This window comes from Homo sapiens, chromosome 12 (assembly GCF_000001405.40).
Source record: "Homo sapiens chromosome 12, GRCh38.p14 Primary Assembly".
NCBI lineage: Eukaryota > Metazoa > Chordata > Mammalia > Primates > Hominidae > Homo > Homo sapiens.
This window is the reverse complement of record NC_000012.12, coordinates 131,853,729-131,871,431: the sequence shown is the minus strand read 5'-3', so window position 1 is coordinate 131,871,431 and position 17,703 is coordinate 131,853,729. Positions and strand designations below refer to the sequence as shown.

The 17,703-nt window shown below is 54.9% G+C and overlaps 1 long non-coding RNA gene across 1 annotated transcript, besides 5 other annotated features; it reads right to left on the bottom strand.

The window, feature by feature from the left end:
• Positions 3,012 to 3,608: an enhancer, noted in NCBI's record as "H3K27ac-H3K4me1 hESC enhancer chr12:132352369-132352965 (GRCh37/hg19 assembly coordinates)". NCBI's record gives its function as "activates a minimal SCP1, AML or CMV promoter by ChIP-STARR-seq in primed H9 embryonic stem cells {active_cell/tissue: H9 hESC(primed)}" and the evidence as "EXISTENCE:reporter gene assay evidence [ECO:0000049][PMID:30033119]".
• Positions 6,749 to 7,412: an enhancer, noted in NCBI's record as "H3K27ac-H3K4me1 hESC enhancer chr12:132348565-132349228 (GRCh37/hg19 assembly coordinates)". NCBI's record gives its function as "activates a minimal SCP1, AML or CMV promoter by ChIP-STARR-seq in primed H9 embryonic stem cells {active_cell/tissue: H9 hESC(primed)}" and the evidence as "EXISTENCE:reporter gene assay evidence [ECO:0000049][PMID:30033119]".
• LOC124903058 (uncharacterized) lies at positions 6,896 to 10,241 on the bottom strand. Its single transcript, XR_007063537.1, has 2 exons — positions 8,276 to 10,241; positions 6,896 to 7,484 (listed from the first exon to the last, which is right to left on the bottom strand). It is a non-coding gene; the product is annotated as an uncharacterized LOC124903058 (long non-coding RNA).
• Positions 8,077 to 8,740: an enhancer, noted in NCBI's record as "H3K27ac-H3K4me1 hESC enhancer chr12:132347237-132347900 (GRCh37/hg19 assembly coordinates)". NCBI's record gives its function as "activates a minimal SCP1, AML or CMV promoter by ChIP-STARR-seq in naive and primed H9 embryonic stem cells {active_cell/tissue: H9 hESC(naive and primed)}" and the evidence as "EXISTENCE:reporter gene assay evidence [ECO:0000049][PMID:30033119]".
• Positions 10,634 to 10,928: an enhancer, noted in NCBI's record as "tiled region #458; HepG2 Activating DNase unmatched - State 1:Tss, and K562 Activating DNase unmatched - State 5:Enh". NCBI's record gives its function as "activates a minimal TATA promoter and a strong SV40 promoter by Sharpr-MPRA in HepG2 and K562 cells {active_cell/tissue: HepG2 | K562}" and the evidence as "EXISTENCE:reporter gene assay evidence [ECO:0000049][PMID:27701403]".
• Positions 14,947 to 15,498: an enhancer, noted in NCBI's record as "H3K27ac-H3K4me1 hESC enhancer chr12:132340479-132341030 (GRCh37/hg19 assembly coordinates)". NCBI's record gives its function as "activates a minimal SCP1, AML or CMV promoter by ChIP-STARR-seq in naive H9 embryonic stem cells {active_cell/tissue: H9 hESC(naive)}" and the evidence as "EXISTENCE:reporter gene assay evidence [ECO:0000049][PMID:30033119]".

Sequence of the window (17,703 nt, the reverse complement as noted above, 5' to 3'; positions counted from 1 at the left end):
CACCGTGTTAGGATGGTCTCGATCTCCTGACCTCGTGATCCACCCACCTCGGCCTCCCAAAGTGCTGGGATTACAGGCGTGAGCCAGCACACCCGGCCACACTGTTGGATTTAAAAACCATGGCCGGGCCCAGCGGCTCACATCTGTAACTCCAGCACTTGGGAGGTCGAGACAGGAGGATTGTTTGAGCCCGGGAGTTCAAAATCATCCTGGACAACATAGGGAAACCCCATCTCTACAAATAATTAAAAAATTAGCCTGCTGTGGTGGTGCTTCTGTGGTCCCAGCTACTTGGGAGGCCGAGGCAGGAGGATCGCCTGAGCCTGGGAGGTCGAGGCTGCAGTGAGCTGTGATCACACCACCGCATTCCAGTCTGGGTGACAGAGTAAGACCCTGTCAAAAAAAAAAAATCAATTTATGATGTTCATAGCAGTACTATTCATAATAGTAAAAAACTAGAAAAGAGGCGGGCATAGTGATGGGCACCTGTAATCCCAGTGCTTTGAGAGGCTGAGGCAGGAGGATTGTTTGAGCCCAGGAGTTTGAGACCAGCCTGGGCAATGTAGTAAGAACCTGTCTCTGCACAAAACAGAGAACTAGCCTGGAATGGTGGGGTGCACCTGTAGTCCTAGCTACTCAGGAGGCTGAGATGGGAGGATCACTTGAGCCTGGGAGGTGGAGGCTGCAGTGAGCTGTGATCCTGCTGCTGCACTCCAGCCTGGGCAACAGACTGAGACCCTGTCTAAAAAAAAAAAAAAGGTGGAAAGATCCCAATCCTCAGTTATATTTTTCTGCAGTGGAGTATTATGCAGCAGCAAGAAAAATGCATGGGCCAGATGGAGTGGCTCATGGCTGGGCATGGTGGCTCACGCCTGTAATACCAGCACTTTGGGAGGCCAGGAGGGTGGATCATTTGAGGTCAGGAGTATGAGACCAGCTTGACCAACATGGTGAAACCCTGTCTCTACTAAAAATACAAAAATTAGCCGGGCACGGTGGTGTGTGCCTGTAATCCCAGCTACTCAGGAGGCTGAGGCAGGAGAATTGCTTGAACCCGGGAGGCAGAAGTTGTAGTGAGCTGACATCACGCCACTGCACTCCAGCCTGGTGACAGAGCGAGACTCCGTCTCTAAATAAATAAATAAATAAATGCATGAATAACAGCTTCCTGCAATCACAGGATGCTTCTGAGGTGACATCATGCTGAGTGGGAAAAAGTGAACCCAGGAGATGGCAGTGGGTGTGACATCCTTTTTACAAAGTTAAAAACAATTAAAAACTAAACACGACACCGTGATGCACCTGTGATGGATACGTGTGGCATGCCCCTAGGGCTAAACCTTCAACACAGGAAGGCAAGGGACGGCAGCACAAATCAAGGACAGTGGCCGCCTGGGGAGGGAGCGAGGGTTTAGAAGGCGCAGAGGCAGATGGCAGCCATGGTTAACATCGAGTGGGCTGCTGAACCCACGGATTTTCATTATGCTACAAATCAAACAAGTCCAGGCAGTGGGGCGCGGTGGCTCACGCCTGGAATCCCAGCACTTTGGGAGGCTGAGGCGGGCGGATCACTTGAGGTCAGGAGTTTGAGACCAGCCTGGTCAACATGGTGAAATACTGACTCTACCAAAAATACAAAAATTAGCCGGGTGTGGTAGCCTGTAATCCCAGCTACTTGGGAGTCTGAGGCAGGAGAATCACTTGAACCCGGGAGGTGGAGGTTGCAGTGAGCCGAGATCGCGCCATTGCACCCCAGCCTGGGCGACAGAGCAAGACTTTGTCACACAGAAAAAAAAAAAAAAAGAAAAGCAGCCCAGGCTGATGCTGAGAGTGTGCCCAGAACCAGGATTTACATCCATCCAAGGGATGCACCTGAAGTTTGGTTCCAGTGAATTGTTTTTTTCCAAGGAACAATTTGTATAACCATATGGAGACATTTTTGTTTTCTGATACACTGCAGACTTGGAAAAGGAAGGTCACCGGTCACACATCCTATGGCTGTGTTGACGTGAAATATCTAGAATACCTACATCCATAGAGACACAAAGATAAGTGGCTGCCAGGGCCTGCGGGGTGACAGTGACCAGGTTTCTTTCTTTCTTTTTTTTTTTTTTGAGACGGAGTCTCGCTCTGTCCCCCAGGCTGGAGTGCAGTGGCGCGATCTCGGCTCACTGCAAGCTCCGCCTCCCGGGTTCACGCCATTCTCCTGCCTCAGCCTCCCGAGTAGCTGGGACTACAGGCACCCACCACCATGCCCGGCTAATTTTTTGTATTTTTAGTAGAGACGAGGTTTCACTGTGTTAGCCAGGATGGTCTAGATCTCCTGACCTCGTGATCTGCCCGCCTCGGTCTCCCAAAGTGCTGGGATTACAGGCGTGAGCCACCGCGCCTGGCCGACAGTTACCAGCTTTCTTTTCCGGCGCATTTTGAACTAGATCGAGGTGGTGATCGTGAAACACACTGAATGCGCTCGGTGCCACTGAGTTGGATGCTTAAAATGGGTAATTTTATATTATGTGAATCTCACCTAAAAAAACAGAAGGATTTTGAGGAGGGGTGGGGGAATCTGACTGTGGGCTCTGAGATGGGAGACCTCACTCACTGCTGGGGGGTACAGAGAATGTGCACAAGAAAGGGAGGCTGGGGGGAGCTCACACGTGGGCCTGGCAGAGCTGGGGTTCCCGGCAGTGGCCCTTGCCCACCTGCTGTGCCGCCCCTGCAGGGACCTGGGATGTGGTCCAGCCTTGGGGAAGGGGGCAGTGGCGGATCCCAGCCTTCTGAGGTGGGGGCGGGGGGACTCCTGCTCCGGGATCGGGCCAGGCTGTGTCTGGGCGGCCACACCCAGCGCACCTGCTCCTCACACCTGTGGGCATCCCGGGCCGGCTCCCCCTGTCTTTCCCACTGTGGGCCGTGAGGCCTGGGCCACTTCCCTTTGCCCTTCTCACACCGCTGCCCTCCTGGTGGATTGGGCCGTGGCACCAGCGTGCATCCAGCCTTCCCACCGCTGGCCTGTGGGTATCCTGCCCTTCCTGCAGGAGCCAGCCTGGCCTCAGCACCCCGTGGAGGGTGCAGGCGTCCCGGGCTGCAGCTCTGAGCTTGGCCTGTGGCTGCTTGGCCCTGCTGTGGCCCTGCTGTGGCCCTGCTGAGGGTCAGATGCCCGGGCCCTGGACCTGAATGGGAACCATTCTCAGCTGCACCCCAGTCCGCGCACATGGCCATGGGGCAGGGGACAGACCTGCATGGGGCTGAGTGGCTGCGGCTCCTGGAGACCCTGGAGGGAACCCCATGGGCTGCCTCGAGGATGGAGGATCTGATGCCACAAAGGGCTCAGAGCCAGGCCTGCAGCCTGGCCAGCAAGTGACTCAGCTGCGGCCCTGCCAGCCACAGGCCTGGGTGGGCTCATGTCCGTTCCCTGGTTCAGCACCCACGACGTAACTTCTAACCATCCTTCCATGCCCACCACACACCTCGGGCCAAGCTCAGTCATGTGAGCTCCCACCTCAGCCCTGCCAGGCTCATACTCCGCTGGAACCGCACAAGGCTGGCACTCTGTGACTTTAGGATTCAGCCGGATGTCCCCTCCTAAGGGGCTGTCCCTGATCACCTAAACCAAAGCCACGCCTCCCGGGCCCCTGTACTCCTCATCTTCCCCGGCCCACATGGCTTCAAGCTTCCATCACAGGACAACTGGCCCTGATGTTCACTCACAACGTGGAGGAAATAGGAAGCCACTGTAGCTCAAGAGGTTTACACAACTCACGTGGCCCTGGATGGGGTAATCGTTCAAACGAATCCATGTAAAGATATTTTGTGGGGACGGGACACATTTCAATATGGATGGGTCTCACACGACCTTACAAAATCATTGTGTGTGGGGATGGGACACATTTCAATATGGATGGGTCTGACACAACATTACAAAATCATTGTGTTTTTGGTGTTTTTTAGATAAGGGGTCTCACTATGTTGCCCAGGCTGGTCTTGAACCCTAGGCTCAAGCGATCCTATAGTCTCAGTCTCAGAAAGTGCTGGGATTCCAGGCATGACCCATGGTGCCTGGGCCGGAATTGTTAATTTTGTCAAATGTGATCGTGATATTGTTATGTAGGAAAATGTGCACCTTCTTAGAGAGAGAGAGAAAATATTTAGGAGAGACATGTCATGATATCTGTTTTTATTTCAAAATTGCTATAACAAGCACAAAAATAAATAAAGCAACATCCAAAGCCCTCACAATGCTGGAATCTAGGTGCGGTGCTTATAAAAGGCTGTTCATTCAACTACTTTCTTTTAAAAAAAATTTCTTTTGAGACAGGGTCTCACTCTGTTGCCCCAGGCTAAAGTGCAGTGGAGAAATCATAGCTCACTGCAGCCTCCAACTCCCAGACTCAAGCGATCCTCCTACCTCAGCCTCCCTAGTAGCTGGGACTACCAGTGCACACCACCATGCCCGGCTAATTTTTGAATTTTTTTCACAGACGGGATTTTGCCATGTTGCCCAGGGTGGTCTTACACTCCAGGGCTCCAGTGATCCACCTGCCTCAGCCTCCCAAAGTGCCGGAATTACAGTCCACTCCTTTTTTTTTTTTTTTTTTCTGAGACAGAGTCTTGCTCTGTTGCCCAGGCTGGAGTGCAGTGGCGTAATCTCAGCTCGCTGCAACCTCCACCTCCCAGGTTCAAGCAATTCTCCTGCCTCAGCCTCCTGAGTAGCTAAGATTACAAGCACCTGCCACCCTGCCTGGCTAATTTTTGTATTTTGGTAGATACGGGGTTTCGCCATGTTGGCCAAGCTGGTCTCGAACTCCTGACCTCAAGTGATCTACCCACCTCAGCCTCCCAAAGTGCTGAGATTACAGGTGTGAGCCACCGCGCCAGGCCCAGTCAACTACTTTCTTTTTTCTTTTTTCTTTTTTTTGAGACGGAGTCTCTCGCTCTGTCGCCCAGGCTGGAGTGCAATGGCTTGATCTTAGCTCACTGCAACCTCCACCTCCTGGGTTCAAGCGATTCTCCTGCCTCAGCCTGAGTAGTTGGGATTACAGGCGCCCACCACCACGCTTGGCTAATTTTTGTATTTTTTAGTAGAGATGGGGGTTTCACCACGTTGGCCAGGCTGGTCTCGAACTCCTGACCTCAGGTGATCTGCCCGCCTCGGCCTCCCAAAGTGCTGGGATTACAGGTGTGAGCCACTGCACCCAGCCAAGTCAACTCCTTTCTAAGCTTGAAAATTTTCGTGAAGAAGAAATACTGTATATGAGAAAAGAAAAAAGAACATACTGGGAATTCCTGTATGTTTACTTAAATAATCTTCTCAGACCTTTTTCTTTATTGCTATGTAATACATACATAATAATATACATAGCACATATAAACAGCATAATTAAATAAGGAACACCCTGTAAATCACCACCTCACCCAAAACTAAGAACATCTCCAATTTATTTTTTCTGTTTGTTCTGAGACAGGGTCTCGCTCTGTCGTGCAGGCCGGAGTGCAATGGCAGGATCTTGGCTCACTGCAGCTTCCACCTCCCTGGCTGAAGCAATTCTCCCATCTCAGCTTCCTGAGTAGCTGGGACTACAGCGTGCACCACTATGACTGGCTGTTTTATTTTTATTCTTACTTTTTGTAGAGATTGGGGGCGGGGGGGGTGGTCTCACTAAGTTGCCCAGGCTGGTCTCGAACTCCTGCCTCCAGCGATCCTCCCACCTCAGCTTCTTCAAGTGCTGGGGTTACAGGTGTGACCACCGCGCCCGGCCCAGTCATTTTCATTGTCATCTGTGGTCCTCCCATCCCATCCTCCCAACCTCCCCAACCAGGCTACTCATGCCTGAGTTTTGCGCTTATTATTCCTTTGTTTTTTGTTATTTCTACTGAAGTGTAACCGATTCTCAGTCAAGTGCACTAATATGAAGGGCACAGCCTGATTCATTTTTGCTCACATGCACACCTGTGTCACCACAGCCCCTCAAGATGTAGGGCATCTCAGACCCTAGGAAGCTGGCAGGTGCCCCGTCGTTCCTGACGAGTGAGTCACTGTCCTGATCTCAGCCTCTGGACATTAGCGTGCCCATCCCCGGACTGCACATAAATGGAGTCAGACAGGACTCACCCTGTGTCAGCTGCGAGACTCCCCGCTGACACTGCATCATCTCCTTGCTTCTCACTAAACAGTCTTAGCGCGTATGTGCGTGTGTATACCTAGAAGCTATCTTAGCACGTATGTGTGTGTATACCTAGAAGTGATCTTAGTGCATATGTGCGTGTGTATACCTAGAAGCTATCTTAGCACGTATGTGTGTGTATACCTAGAAGCGATCTTAGTGCGTATGTGCATGTGTATACCTAGAAGCTATCTTTTCCAGCTTTGCTTTTTTTTTTTTTTTTTGAGACAGTCTCACTCTGTCGCCCAGGATGGAGTGCAGTGGTGGGATCTCGGCTCACTGCAAGCTCTGCCTCCTGGGTTCACGCCATTCTCCTCCCTCAGCCTCCCGAGTAGCTGGGACTACAGGCGCCTGCCACCACGCCTGGCTAATACGGGGTTTCACCATGTTAGCCAGGATGGTCTCGATCTCCTGACCTCGTGATCCACCCGCCTCAGCCTCCCAAAGTGTTGGGATTACAGGCGTGAGCCACCGCACCCGGCCTGCTTGTTTTTAAGCTTTATAAAAATAGCACCATAGTATAGAAAAAAAAACACCTGTGTTTCACAGGAAAACTATGCATTTTAAATCAGAGCAGGTACTCCAGGGCTGTCAGATTCTAGCTTTTCGTTGTCTTTGAGCTGTTGTACATCACGTTGTAGGCTGAGGCAACTGACAGACAGAAATTCTTTCTTATCCACCAGGTTCCATTGTCTTTCCTCCCACCTCTTAGGAAAAAAAAAAACAGATTTTCCTGCATTTACATATTCATTTTAATATTCTGTTGTTTTTTTTTCTTTTTCTTTCTTTTTTTTTTTTTTGTTTTTTTTTGAGACAGGGTCTTGCTCCGTCACCCAGGATGGAGTGCAGTGGTGCAATCACAGCCCACTGCAGCCTTGAACTCCCAAGACTCAAGCCATCCTCCCGCTTCCACCTCTCAAAGTGCTGGGATTACAGGCTTCTTGTGTGAATTGCCTGCTCATGTTCCAGCAGGAAGCCGGGATGGAGGAGGAGCCACCCCTGGGGGGTCCAGGTTGCTGCTGTGCCCTGTGCCTGGAACAGAGTAGGCGCTCCGCCAATAGCTGTGAGGCCCAGGCATATGCCAGGGGTTGCCGTCAAAGGCATGCAGGTGCTAACAGGCCGGGGCCCCGGGCGCTGAGGTCTCCGACGTGGGGTGGAGGACAGCTCATTCGCAGCGGTAAGGGGACTCAACTCCTCGCCGGGGCTGCCCGACAGACAGCCAGGGTGGATTTCTTCACCGTTTCTTCTCAGACACGCTGGTGTTATTTCTGGTTCATGCATGCTGGGAAAGATGTCCCTGGATTGTCCCCGCCCCTATTTCACCTGCGGCAACAGATGGGGACATGGCATCGTTATGACCCTGTGAAATAAAACAGACATCTGTCCTGGCCGGCTGCTGTGGAAATGCTCTGTTTTCCAAATGCACAAAGCACTCATCTCAGATGCTCTGAGTGGGCCGTCTTGATCTTGCTGACAGGTTAGAAGCTTTGGTGCAGGCGCTGAATCGACCCACCTAAGATGCCAGCCCTGGCAGGGGGTTGCTTGGCCACAGAGCAGCAGGGGCCTGCGCGGTCCTGTGTTCCCCTCTATGCTCTCGGCCCAAGTGTCCCCTCCTCAGACCCCAGCCACTCTCGTGACCCCTAGGAGCCAGGTGCAGCCCGACCTCACTCCTGAGTCCCTCGCCCAGGCAACCTCTGGACCTATAGGAACACAGGGGTGAGGGTGGGGCCTTTGGAACCCCTTCACCTCCCAGGCCCCCAGACAGCCTCCAGGCCTGGGGTCTCACACCCAAGTGCCTTCAGAGAGGAGGAGAGCTTGCGAAATCCCTCCAGCCCCAGGCAAAGGCGGTTCTGTGCATTTATGCTTTTGAGCAACAAAGCCGCCCCCGCAGGCTCGTGGGTAAAAACTCCCCTGCTCCAGCCTAGAGGTCTGGGGTCAGCTGGGGAGGCCCAGCCCCTTCACCCCTCCCTCCCCACTTCACCCTCCCTCCCCTTTCACCCTTCCCTACCCCCTTCACCCCTCCCCCGACCCTTCACCCCTCCCTCCCCAGGCACGACTGCTGAGTCAGCAAAGACAGCCGGGTGTGTGGCAGCCCTAGTCATCATCCCCCAAACCTGGCAGCAACCGGGACGCCCTGCAGTCGGTGAGTGGGTGGGTCAGCGGGGTGCATCCAGACAGTGGGACTCTATTCAATACCAAGAGGAAAAGAGCTTCCAAACTCTGAAGACACAGAAGAAATGACAATGCACGTTACTAAGTGAAAGAAGCCGCCTGCAAAGGCCACAGACGATGATTCCAACTGTCGGACAAGCTGGGAAAGGCCAAACCCTGGAGGCAGGAAAAGAGCAGTGGTTGCCAGCGGGTGGGATGAATAGAGGGGTGAATGGGAGATATGGGGACAGTGAAACTGCCCCATGTGATGGCACCACGGTGATCTGTGTCCTCTTCCATTTGCCCAAACCCACAGCATGCACAGCGCCAAGAGTGAGTCCCAACGTGAACTGCGGACTCCGGGTGATAACGACTGTCAGAGCAGGGCTACCGTGGGTGGCCAGCTGATGGCGGGGGGCTGTGTGTGCGGGAGACACACGGAACTCCCTCTACCTTCTGCTCAATTTTGCAGTGAAACCAAAACTGTTCTAAAAAATATAGTCTTAGCTGGTTGCGGTGGCTCACGCCTGTCATCCCAGCACTTTGGGAGGTTGAGGCAGGAAGAACACTTGAGCCCAGGGGTTTAAGACCAGCCTGGGCAACAGAGGGAGACCCCATCTCTAGCAAAATAAAAATAAAAAATTAGCCAGGTGCAGTGGCACAGGCCTGTACAGTCCCAGCTACTCAGGAGGCCAAGGCAGGAGGAGTGCTTGAGCCCAGGAGGTCGGGGCTGCAGTGAGCCATGAGGCTGCCACTGCACTCCAGCCTGGGCAGCAGAGCGAGCCCAGCCCCTGCCTCCAGAGTGCCCCCTGCCCACTGTCACGCTGGCCTCCCCTCCCCACCATCCTCCTGTCGATAACTTGGTGAGGTGCAGGGGGTGTGCCCTGACCCTGGGGACCTGTGGCCTGAGTTTGAATCTTTGCTCTGTCTACTGGAGCTGTGGACCCTGAACTTTGGCCTCTTTTTGTTTCCCCAACCTGAGGCCTTGCACTAGCTGTTCCCTCTGCCCAAGTGCTCACCCCATCATGCAAGTCCTAGCTCAAATGCCACCTCCTCCAGGAAGCCCTCACTGACCACCCAGCTAAAGTGCCCCTACATCCACCTTGACCCCAACTATCTAAGTCTCATGTCAGTTATACCAGAGGTGACTTCCTCACTTGCTCTCTTCTCCCTCCGACTGTCCGATGGCTCCTCAGAGTCCCTGAGATGGCAGGAAAGCCCGGTCCCCTGGCAGCCTTGGATGAGGGGATTCAGAGCCCCTGGCGCACCCCAGACCTGTTCTGGGGCACCTAACCCGGTGGGAGATGGAAGTGCAGGGCCCAGCCCACCCAAGCATCATTGCCAATTCTGGTTCACAAAGCACTCTCCAGCCCCAGCCTGGATGGGTTCTGTGACATGCTGTGCAGCTGAGCTTCGTAGCAATACTTAACTGCTTTCCTTCCAACCTGGGTGCCGTCCACAACACACCCACCATTAACTTGGTTTTTTAGAGGCAGGGTCTTGCTCTGTTGTCCAGGCTGGATCACAGCTCACTGCAGCCTCAATCTCCATGCTCAAGTGATCCTCCCGCCTCAGCCTCCTGAGTAGCTGGGACTACAGGTGCACACCACCACTCCTGGCTAATTTAAATTTTTTTAGGGACAGGGTCTCACCATGTTGCCCAGGCTGGTCTTGAACTCCTGGGCTCAAGTGATCCTCCAGCCTGGGCCTCCCAAAGTGCTGGGTTGAGAGGCGTGAGCCTCCACCATTCACGTATGTGCCAGTAGGAAGCACACAATGTTGCTAGTTGAACTTCTACTCTGTCCATTTTAAGACACATGCTGATTTCACGTGAGAAGATGCGCATCAGAGACATGGTGAACACGGTCAGAACGAGCAACTCCCCTGTTGCATCCACTGTGTGCCTGGCATGGCTCCCCACATGCGTGTGGCTTCCTCCTGCAACCCCACAGACAGGGTAGATGCCACCACACCCAGTTTACAGATCAGAGACACTCGCTGGGCACCACCCTGTGAGTTCATGATAGAAATGCGCCTGATGCTCCAAGCGCCTGTAAACAGACCCTGGGAAGGGAGGGATCGCTGGAGGCTGTGGTCAGGGCTGGGCCCCCAGGCAGGGCAGAGTCCAGGCTGACCGGGGCAGGTCATGCTGCCAGACAGCCGTGGATTGCATCAGGGGCCCGGCTGCCACGGTGGCCTGGAGATCCCCAGGGCGTCCTGGGTGATGCAACCAGGGCGAGGCCGGCCTCAGCCTGCCTTGAGGGGTGCAGGAGCCCCAGAGCCGGGCTCATGCATCCCTGCTCCCTCCCTCCCTCTTCCCTCACATCCCAGGTCCTCCCCAGCCGGGAGACCACCTTTCCTCTGCGCGTCCTTTGGTTTCTCTTTGTGCTTGGGAAACGAGTGTTGTGACAACTAAAAGCTGCTGTGTCACCTCTCCCAGAGGCCAGCCCACCGCTCCGCTGCCTTGTTTAGTGCATTATTATTTAAACAAATGGGCCTGGCTGTGTTCCAGGGAAGGTTGATTGATTCATGCAACAGGCTGCAGGGATCCTCCTGTGGCCCCAGGACCTAGCTTGGCTGAGACCGATTGGATTAGTTTTGATCTTTCTTTCCTTTCTTTCCTTCTTTTCTTTTGTTTTCTCTTTCTTTTCTTCTCTTTCTTTTCTTTCTCTCTCTCTTTCTTTTCTTTCTTTTTAAATGAGTGATTTTTTTCTTTTCCTTTTTTTTTGGAGTCTCGCTGTGTCGCCCAGGCTGGAGTGCAGTGGCGTGATCTCGGCTCACTGCAAGCTCCGCCTCCTGGGTTCACGCCATTCTCTCGCCTCAGCCTCCCATGTAGCTGGGGCTACAGAGGCCTGCCACCACGCCCAGATAATTTTGTTTTTGTACTTTTAGTAGAGACAGGGTTTCACCGTGTTAGCCAGGATGGTCTCCATCTCCTGACCTCGTGATCCACCCACCTCGGCCTCCCAAAGTGCTGGGACTACAGGCGTGAGCCACTGCGCCCGGCCTGTGTTTTATTCTTTTGTTTGAGTCAGAGTCTCTCGCTGACACTCAGGCTGGAGTGCAGTAGCACAATCTCAGCTCACTGCAACCTCCACCTCCTGGGCTCAAGCGATTCCCCCGCCTTAGCTTCCTGAGTAGCTGGGATTACAGGTGCCCACCACATCCAGCTAGCTTGCGTTTGTTTTGTTTTTTTTTGAGATGGAGTTTCGCTCTTGTTGCCCAGGCTGGAGTGCAGTGGCGTGATCTCGGCTCACTGCAACCTCCGCCTCCCAGTTTCAAGCGATTCTCCTGCCTCAGCCTCCTGAGTAGCTGGGATTATAGGCGCTCACCAGCATGCCTGGCTAATTTATTTTTTATTTTATTTATTTATTTATTTTTGAGATGGAATCTCACTCTGTGGCCCAGGCTGGAGTGCAGTGGTACGATCTCAGCTCACTGCAACCTCCGTCTCCCAGGTTCACGCAATTCTCCTGCCTCAGCCTCCCGAGTAGCTGGAATTATAGGCATGTGCCACCACGCCAGGCTAATTTTTGTATTTTTAGTAGAAACAGGGTTTCACCATGTTGGCCAGGCTGGTCTCGAACTCCTGACCTCAAGTGATCCACCTGTCTCAGCCTCCCAAAGTGCTGAGATTACAGGCGTGAGCCACTGTGCCCAGCCTATTCTTTAGTATTTAACAGAATGCAGGACAAGTCACATATCAATGATTCGTTACTTTACACACAGGGAGTCTTCTGTTATACAACTGGTTGTGAACACCCAGAACAAAGCTCTTACAGCCTTTAGATGGCCAAAGAAATTCTCAAAGCCTGGGCATGTCTGAAAAGACTTCAACCACATCTTTTAAAAAACATAGACTCTCAGTCGGGTGCGGTGGCTCACACCTGCAATCCCAGCACTTTGGGAGGCCGATGCGGGCGGATCACGAGGTCAGGAGTTTGAGAATAGCCTGACCAACATGGGGAAACCCTGTCTCTACTGAAAATACAAAAATTAGCCAGGCTTGGTGGTGCGCAGCTGTAATCCCAGCTACTCGGGAGGCTGAGGCAGGACAATCGCTTGAACCCGGGAGGCGGAGGTTGCCGTGAGCCGAGATTGTGCCACTGCACCCCAGCCTAGGTGACAGAGCAAGACTCCATCTGAAACAAAACAAAACAAAAATAACATACACTCTCTCCCCGTTTCAGAGGACTGGGTGGAGGCTATGTCCGCCTCCCCTGGAAGCCCTCAAGGACCCACAGAAGTCTCGAGCCTGCCAGTGTGCAGCGGGGGACACAGATCCGCCCTCTGCACCGGGAGCATCATGTGAAGTCTAAGAAAGCCCTGCAGGACCAGCCGTCTCACACTTGTCGTGGAAAATCCCATCAGCACACCTCTGACTCCCACGTGGGAATCACCAGGCCATCACCATCAAACCGCCCTCCCGCAGGCAAAAACGGCAAACGCAGCCCTCCCATGCTCAAGGGAGGTCTCATCGCTCTGCCATAGTCCTCACAAATCTCCAAATACAACCAAGATGTGTCTCCCTCACAGCCCTCGTCCAAGCCACTGTCTCTCCCTGGCAAATCCCAGCCCTGCACCCTCACTGGCCCCACGTCCACCCATTCTCAGAACGGCAGTCAGATGGACCTGCAGAACCTCCGTCTCATCAGGCCCCACTCTGCCCAAAACCCTCCCGTGGCTCCCCTGAGCCCGCACAGTAAACACAGAAATCCCTGACACCCCAGCGTCTCCTCAGACTCTCCAGAGCACCCAGCACATCCCTGAAGCACCCAGGGCCTCCCCAGAGCATTCAGCACCCAGGGCTTCCTCCGAGCACCCAGCACCCAGGGCCTCCCCAGAGCACCCAGCACCTTCCTAGAGTACCCAGCACCTCCCTAGAGCACCCAGCACCTCCCCACAGCACCCAGCACCGCCCCAGAGCACCTAGCACCACCGCACAGTACCCAGCACCTCCCCAGAGCACTGTTCCAGAGTACCCAGTACCTTCCTAGAGTACCCAGCACCTTCCTAGAGTACCCAGCATCAGGCAGAACACCCAGCATGACCCAGAGCACCCAGGAGCACCTCAGAGTACCCAGCACCTCCCCAGAGCACTCAGAACCTCCCCACAGCACCCAGCATCATCCCCAGAGCACCCAGCACCTCCCCAGAGCATCCAGCACCACCCCAGAGTACCCATCACCTCCCCAGAGCACTGCCTCAGAGTACCCAGCATCTTCCCAGAGCACCCAGAACCGCCCCAGAGTACCCAGCACCTCCCCAAAGCACCCAGCACCAACCCAGAGCACCCACCACTTCCCCAGAGAACTCAGTACCTCTCCAGAGCACCCAGCACCTCCTCACAGCACCCACCACCACCACAGAGCACCCACCACTGCCCCAGAGCACCCAGCACACAGCACCTCCCCAGAGCACCCAGTACCTCCCCAGAGTACCTAGCACCTCCCCAGAGCACCCAGCACACAGCACCTCCCCAGAGCACCCAGCACCTCCCAGAGCACCCAGCGATCTCCAGAGCACCCAACACCACTGGCTGCAGGGCCTGTGTGCAGCCTCCTTCAGCTCCTGCAGGCTCGGCTTCCCTCCTCGACAAACACCGCCCCCCTGCCTCATTTTCCTACCAACATCTGATCACTGCACACTCCACCCACGGGTGACACACTCTCACAGGTACAGCCCCATCTGCTTGGCTGCCTTTTTTCCCCACTGGAATACAGGAAGATTTACAGAAGATTTCACAAGATTAAGGATTTGGCCTGTTTGGTTCAAGGCTGTGGCCCCAGCACCTGGAACAGTGCCTGTGGCTTAATAGGTGTTCGTTGAGCAAATAAAGAGTGACAGAAGGCCGGGCGTGGTGGCTCACACCTGTAATCCCAGCACTTTGGGAGGCCGAGGTGGGTGGATCACTTGAGGTCAGAAGTTCAAGACCAGCCTGGCCAACATGGTGAAAGCTTCTCTACTAAAAATACAAAAATTAGCCAGGCGTGGTGGCCTGTGCCTGTAATCCTAGGTACTCAGGAGGCCGAGGCAGGAAAATGGCTTGAACCCGGGAGGCGGAGGTTGCAGTGAGCCGAGATCACACCACTGCACTCCAGCCTGGGTGACAGAGCAAGGCTCCGTCTAAAAAAAAAGAGTGACAGAAATGCAGGCACCTGCATGGCACCAGCCGAGTGCTGGGAGGAGCCCAGGCCCCATGGAGGCTCCTGCCAGAGCCAGCGCCAACTGCCATACGACAGGAGCAAGCCAGGCCCCCCACCATGGTGCAAGTGCAGGGGAGACCAGCGGCGGAGGCCAGGCAACCTCCAGAGAGAGGGAGGGAGACAGAGAGACAGAGAGAGAGACAGGGACAGGGAGATAGAGAGAGACAGATGCAGAGACAGAGACATAGAGTCAGAGACAGGCAGAGACAAGGAGAGACAGAGACAGAGAGACAGGGAGAGGGACAGAGAGAGAGAGACAGAGAGACAGAGACAGGGAGAGAGACAGAGACAGGGAGAGGGACAGAGATAGAGACAGAGAGACAGAGACAGATGGGGAGACAGAGATATAGAGACAGAGAGGCAGAGGCAAGGAGAGACAGAGACAGAGAGGCACAGAGAGAGAGAGTCAGGGAGAGAGACAGAGATAGAGACAGAGAGACAGAGACAGGGAGGGAGACAGAGAGAGACAGGGACAGGGAGAGAGACAGATGGAGAGACAGAGATATAGAGACAGAGACAGGCAGAGACAAGGAGAGACAGACAGGGAGAGAGACAGAGAGACAAGAGACAGGGAGAGGGACAGAGATACAGAGAGACAAGGAGAGAGAAAGATAGAGACTGAGTTGGAGAGACAGACAGAGATACAGACAGAGACAGAGAGAGGCAGAGACAGAGAAACAGACTGGGGGTGACAGAGCGAGCGAGAAGGCAAGGATCCTGCTGCTGTTAAGTGGAGAAGCCGTGGGGGTCCTGTCCTGCAGTCACGGTGGAAGGACCCTGACCCGGTGGAGGTGGAGAGTGTGGCCAGCAGTGGCTCTGTCTCCTCGGCTCCTCCCATTTCTCAGCCGCAGCGGGGGTCCTGCCTGCCTGGCCTGGGCTCAGGGGGGCGGGGTGCAGAGCCACCCTGGCCCATCACAGCTTGGGGTGAAGCAGCCCAGAGCCAGCCGCCCCGCTGCAGCCACGGCGCCCTAAAAACGGCCCGGGAGCTGGGAGGGGCGGCCCTGGCTTGCGCTGTAGTCACACCTGTGGGTCCAGCTCGGCTGCCCCGGAGCGGTGTGCTCTGGCGTCCTTAGGATTCCCACGAGAGTGTCCTGCTACCTGCGGTCCCTCCGCCTGGGCAAGGGAGTGCTGCTCTCAGCCCGACCTCAGAGTGTGCCCGCTGGCTTCACACTTGGCTCCGCCCCTCCCTGAACACCTGGGCTCGGACAGCTCTCTGCCAGCTCTGGGCCTCAGTTTCCTCATCTGGGAAACAGAAGTAACCCAGTCCCTCCGCTCAGTGTCGCTGCCAGGATTCAGTGAGTTTGCAGTCGCAGATCGCAGGGCAGGCCCGGCATCTTAGCTGTCACTCATGCTGCTTTGGGGTGATCTGCCTCCCGCCAGAGCCTCCTAAGCCCCCACAATCCACTCCCCACAGGGTTTCTGAAGGAGGCCAGGAGGGTGGCAGGGAGGGACAGGTGCGGCTGGGATCTGGGGCCACCCACCCACCGGGCAGCCTTGGCCCATCCACCCTGGATGTTATGCACTGAATGTCTGTGTCTCCTCAGACATCTTTGTGTGTGTGTGTGTGTGTGTGCGTGTGTGTGTGGTTTTTAAGTTTTTAGTAGAGATGGGGTCTTGCTGTGTTGCCCAGGCTGGTCTTGAACTCCTGGGCTCAAGCGATCCTCCTACTTTGGCCTCCAAAAGTGCTGGAATTACAGGCATAAGCCACCGTGCCCGGCCACCAGTCACATTTTGAAACCATGACCGCTAGTGTGATGGTGTTAGGAGGGGGCCTTTGGCAGGCGATTTGGGTTAGATGAGGTCGTGAGGGCGGAGCCCCCACAATGAGATTGGTGCCCTGGTAGGGGGTGAAGGGACCAGCACTTTCTCTCTCGGGCTTGTGAGGACACAGTGAGAAGGTGCTGGCTTTGAACCAGGAAGCGGGCCTCTAAGAACCTGACCCTGCCGGCATCCTGACCTCAGACTCCTGCAGATTGGTGGGAAAGCAAATGCCTGTGTGGAAGCCGCACAGTCTATAGCAGCCTGTCACGGCAAGCTGAGCTAAGACACCGTGCCTCAGTTTCCCTCCCTGTAACACGGCAGCTGGAGAGGGTGTGTCCTGGCCTCAGAGGTCACCCATGTGGAAGCCGCATGGTCTACAGCAGCCTGTCACGGCAAGCTGAGCTAAGACACCGTGCCTCAGTTTCCCTTCCTGTATCATGGGAGCTGGAGAGGGTGTGTCCTGGCCTCGGAGGTCTCCCATGCAGAGGCGTTGTATAGCACCCATGGGGCTGTGTGTTTTTGGTCAAAAGCCTGGGTCACGCTAAGGGCAGCCAGTGCCTTGGCCCGGCCGTGTGGCTCAAGAGAGACCCTGGGCCTCCAGGCTGACCTCCCTGGGGTGGAAGGAAGAAGGGAAGAGGTCCTTGCCCCTCACTGGGGTGGCGTGGGTCCTCTGACCTCCTTCGGAGGGTTTTGACTGTGGCTGTGGGCTGGCGATGCCCTGCCTCCTGGGCCTGGGGGCACAGCTTCTCCAAGTTGGGCCAGCACAGCCTGAGGTATAAGCAGTGACTCTGAAAATCCAGAACGTCACGTGAAGTCTCCAGGTGTTTAGATGGTGACTCAGGCGAAGATGGAAAACTGCCTGCTGAAGACACAGAACCGAGGTCCCATCACGAGGAAGGTGCAGGCGGACAGGCCGGGGGCATGGACCACAGAAGGACGGGCCGGCAGCCCTCATAGGTGCGAGGTCACAGGGGTCGGGGAAGGCCCGGGAGCTGTGCCGGGCCAAAGAAGGCTGCCCTGGGTGAGGTCTGTCCCTGCAGCATCCTCTGATCTGAGATCCACTGGCTGCGTGTCTTTCCCAACTCTGACCTTGGGAGGACACCTGCGTTCCAGGAGACACAGAAGCGAGCTCAGGGTGGTCAGCGCCTCCCAAAGGATGCAGAGGACTCTCATGCTGCGGGTGCAGCTTTCTATGAACATGAGATCCTTTCCACAAAACAACACGCCCTGCCCGCGTGTTCCTCATCCGAGACGCGCAGGACCAGAAAAGTGTTTTGGAGCTCAGATTGTTTGGAGTTTGGACACTATATTTGCATTATACTTACAGGTTGAGCATTTTTCTCTGCTTTTCTTTTTTCAAATACTGCCACTTGGCCAGGTGTGTTGGCTCATGCCTGTAATCCTAGCCTCACCTCAGGGAGGCT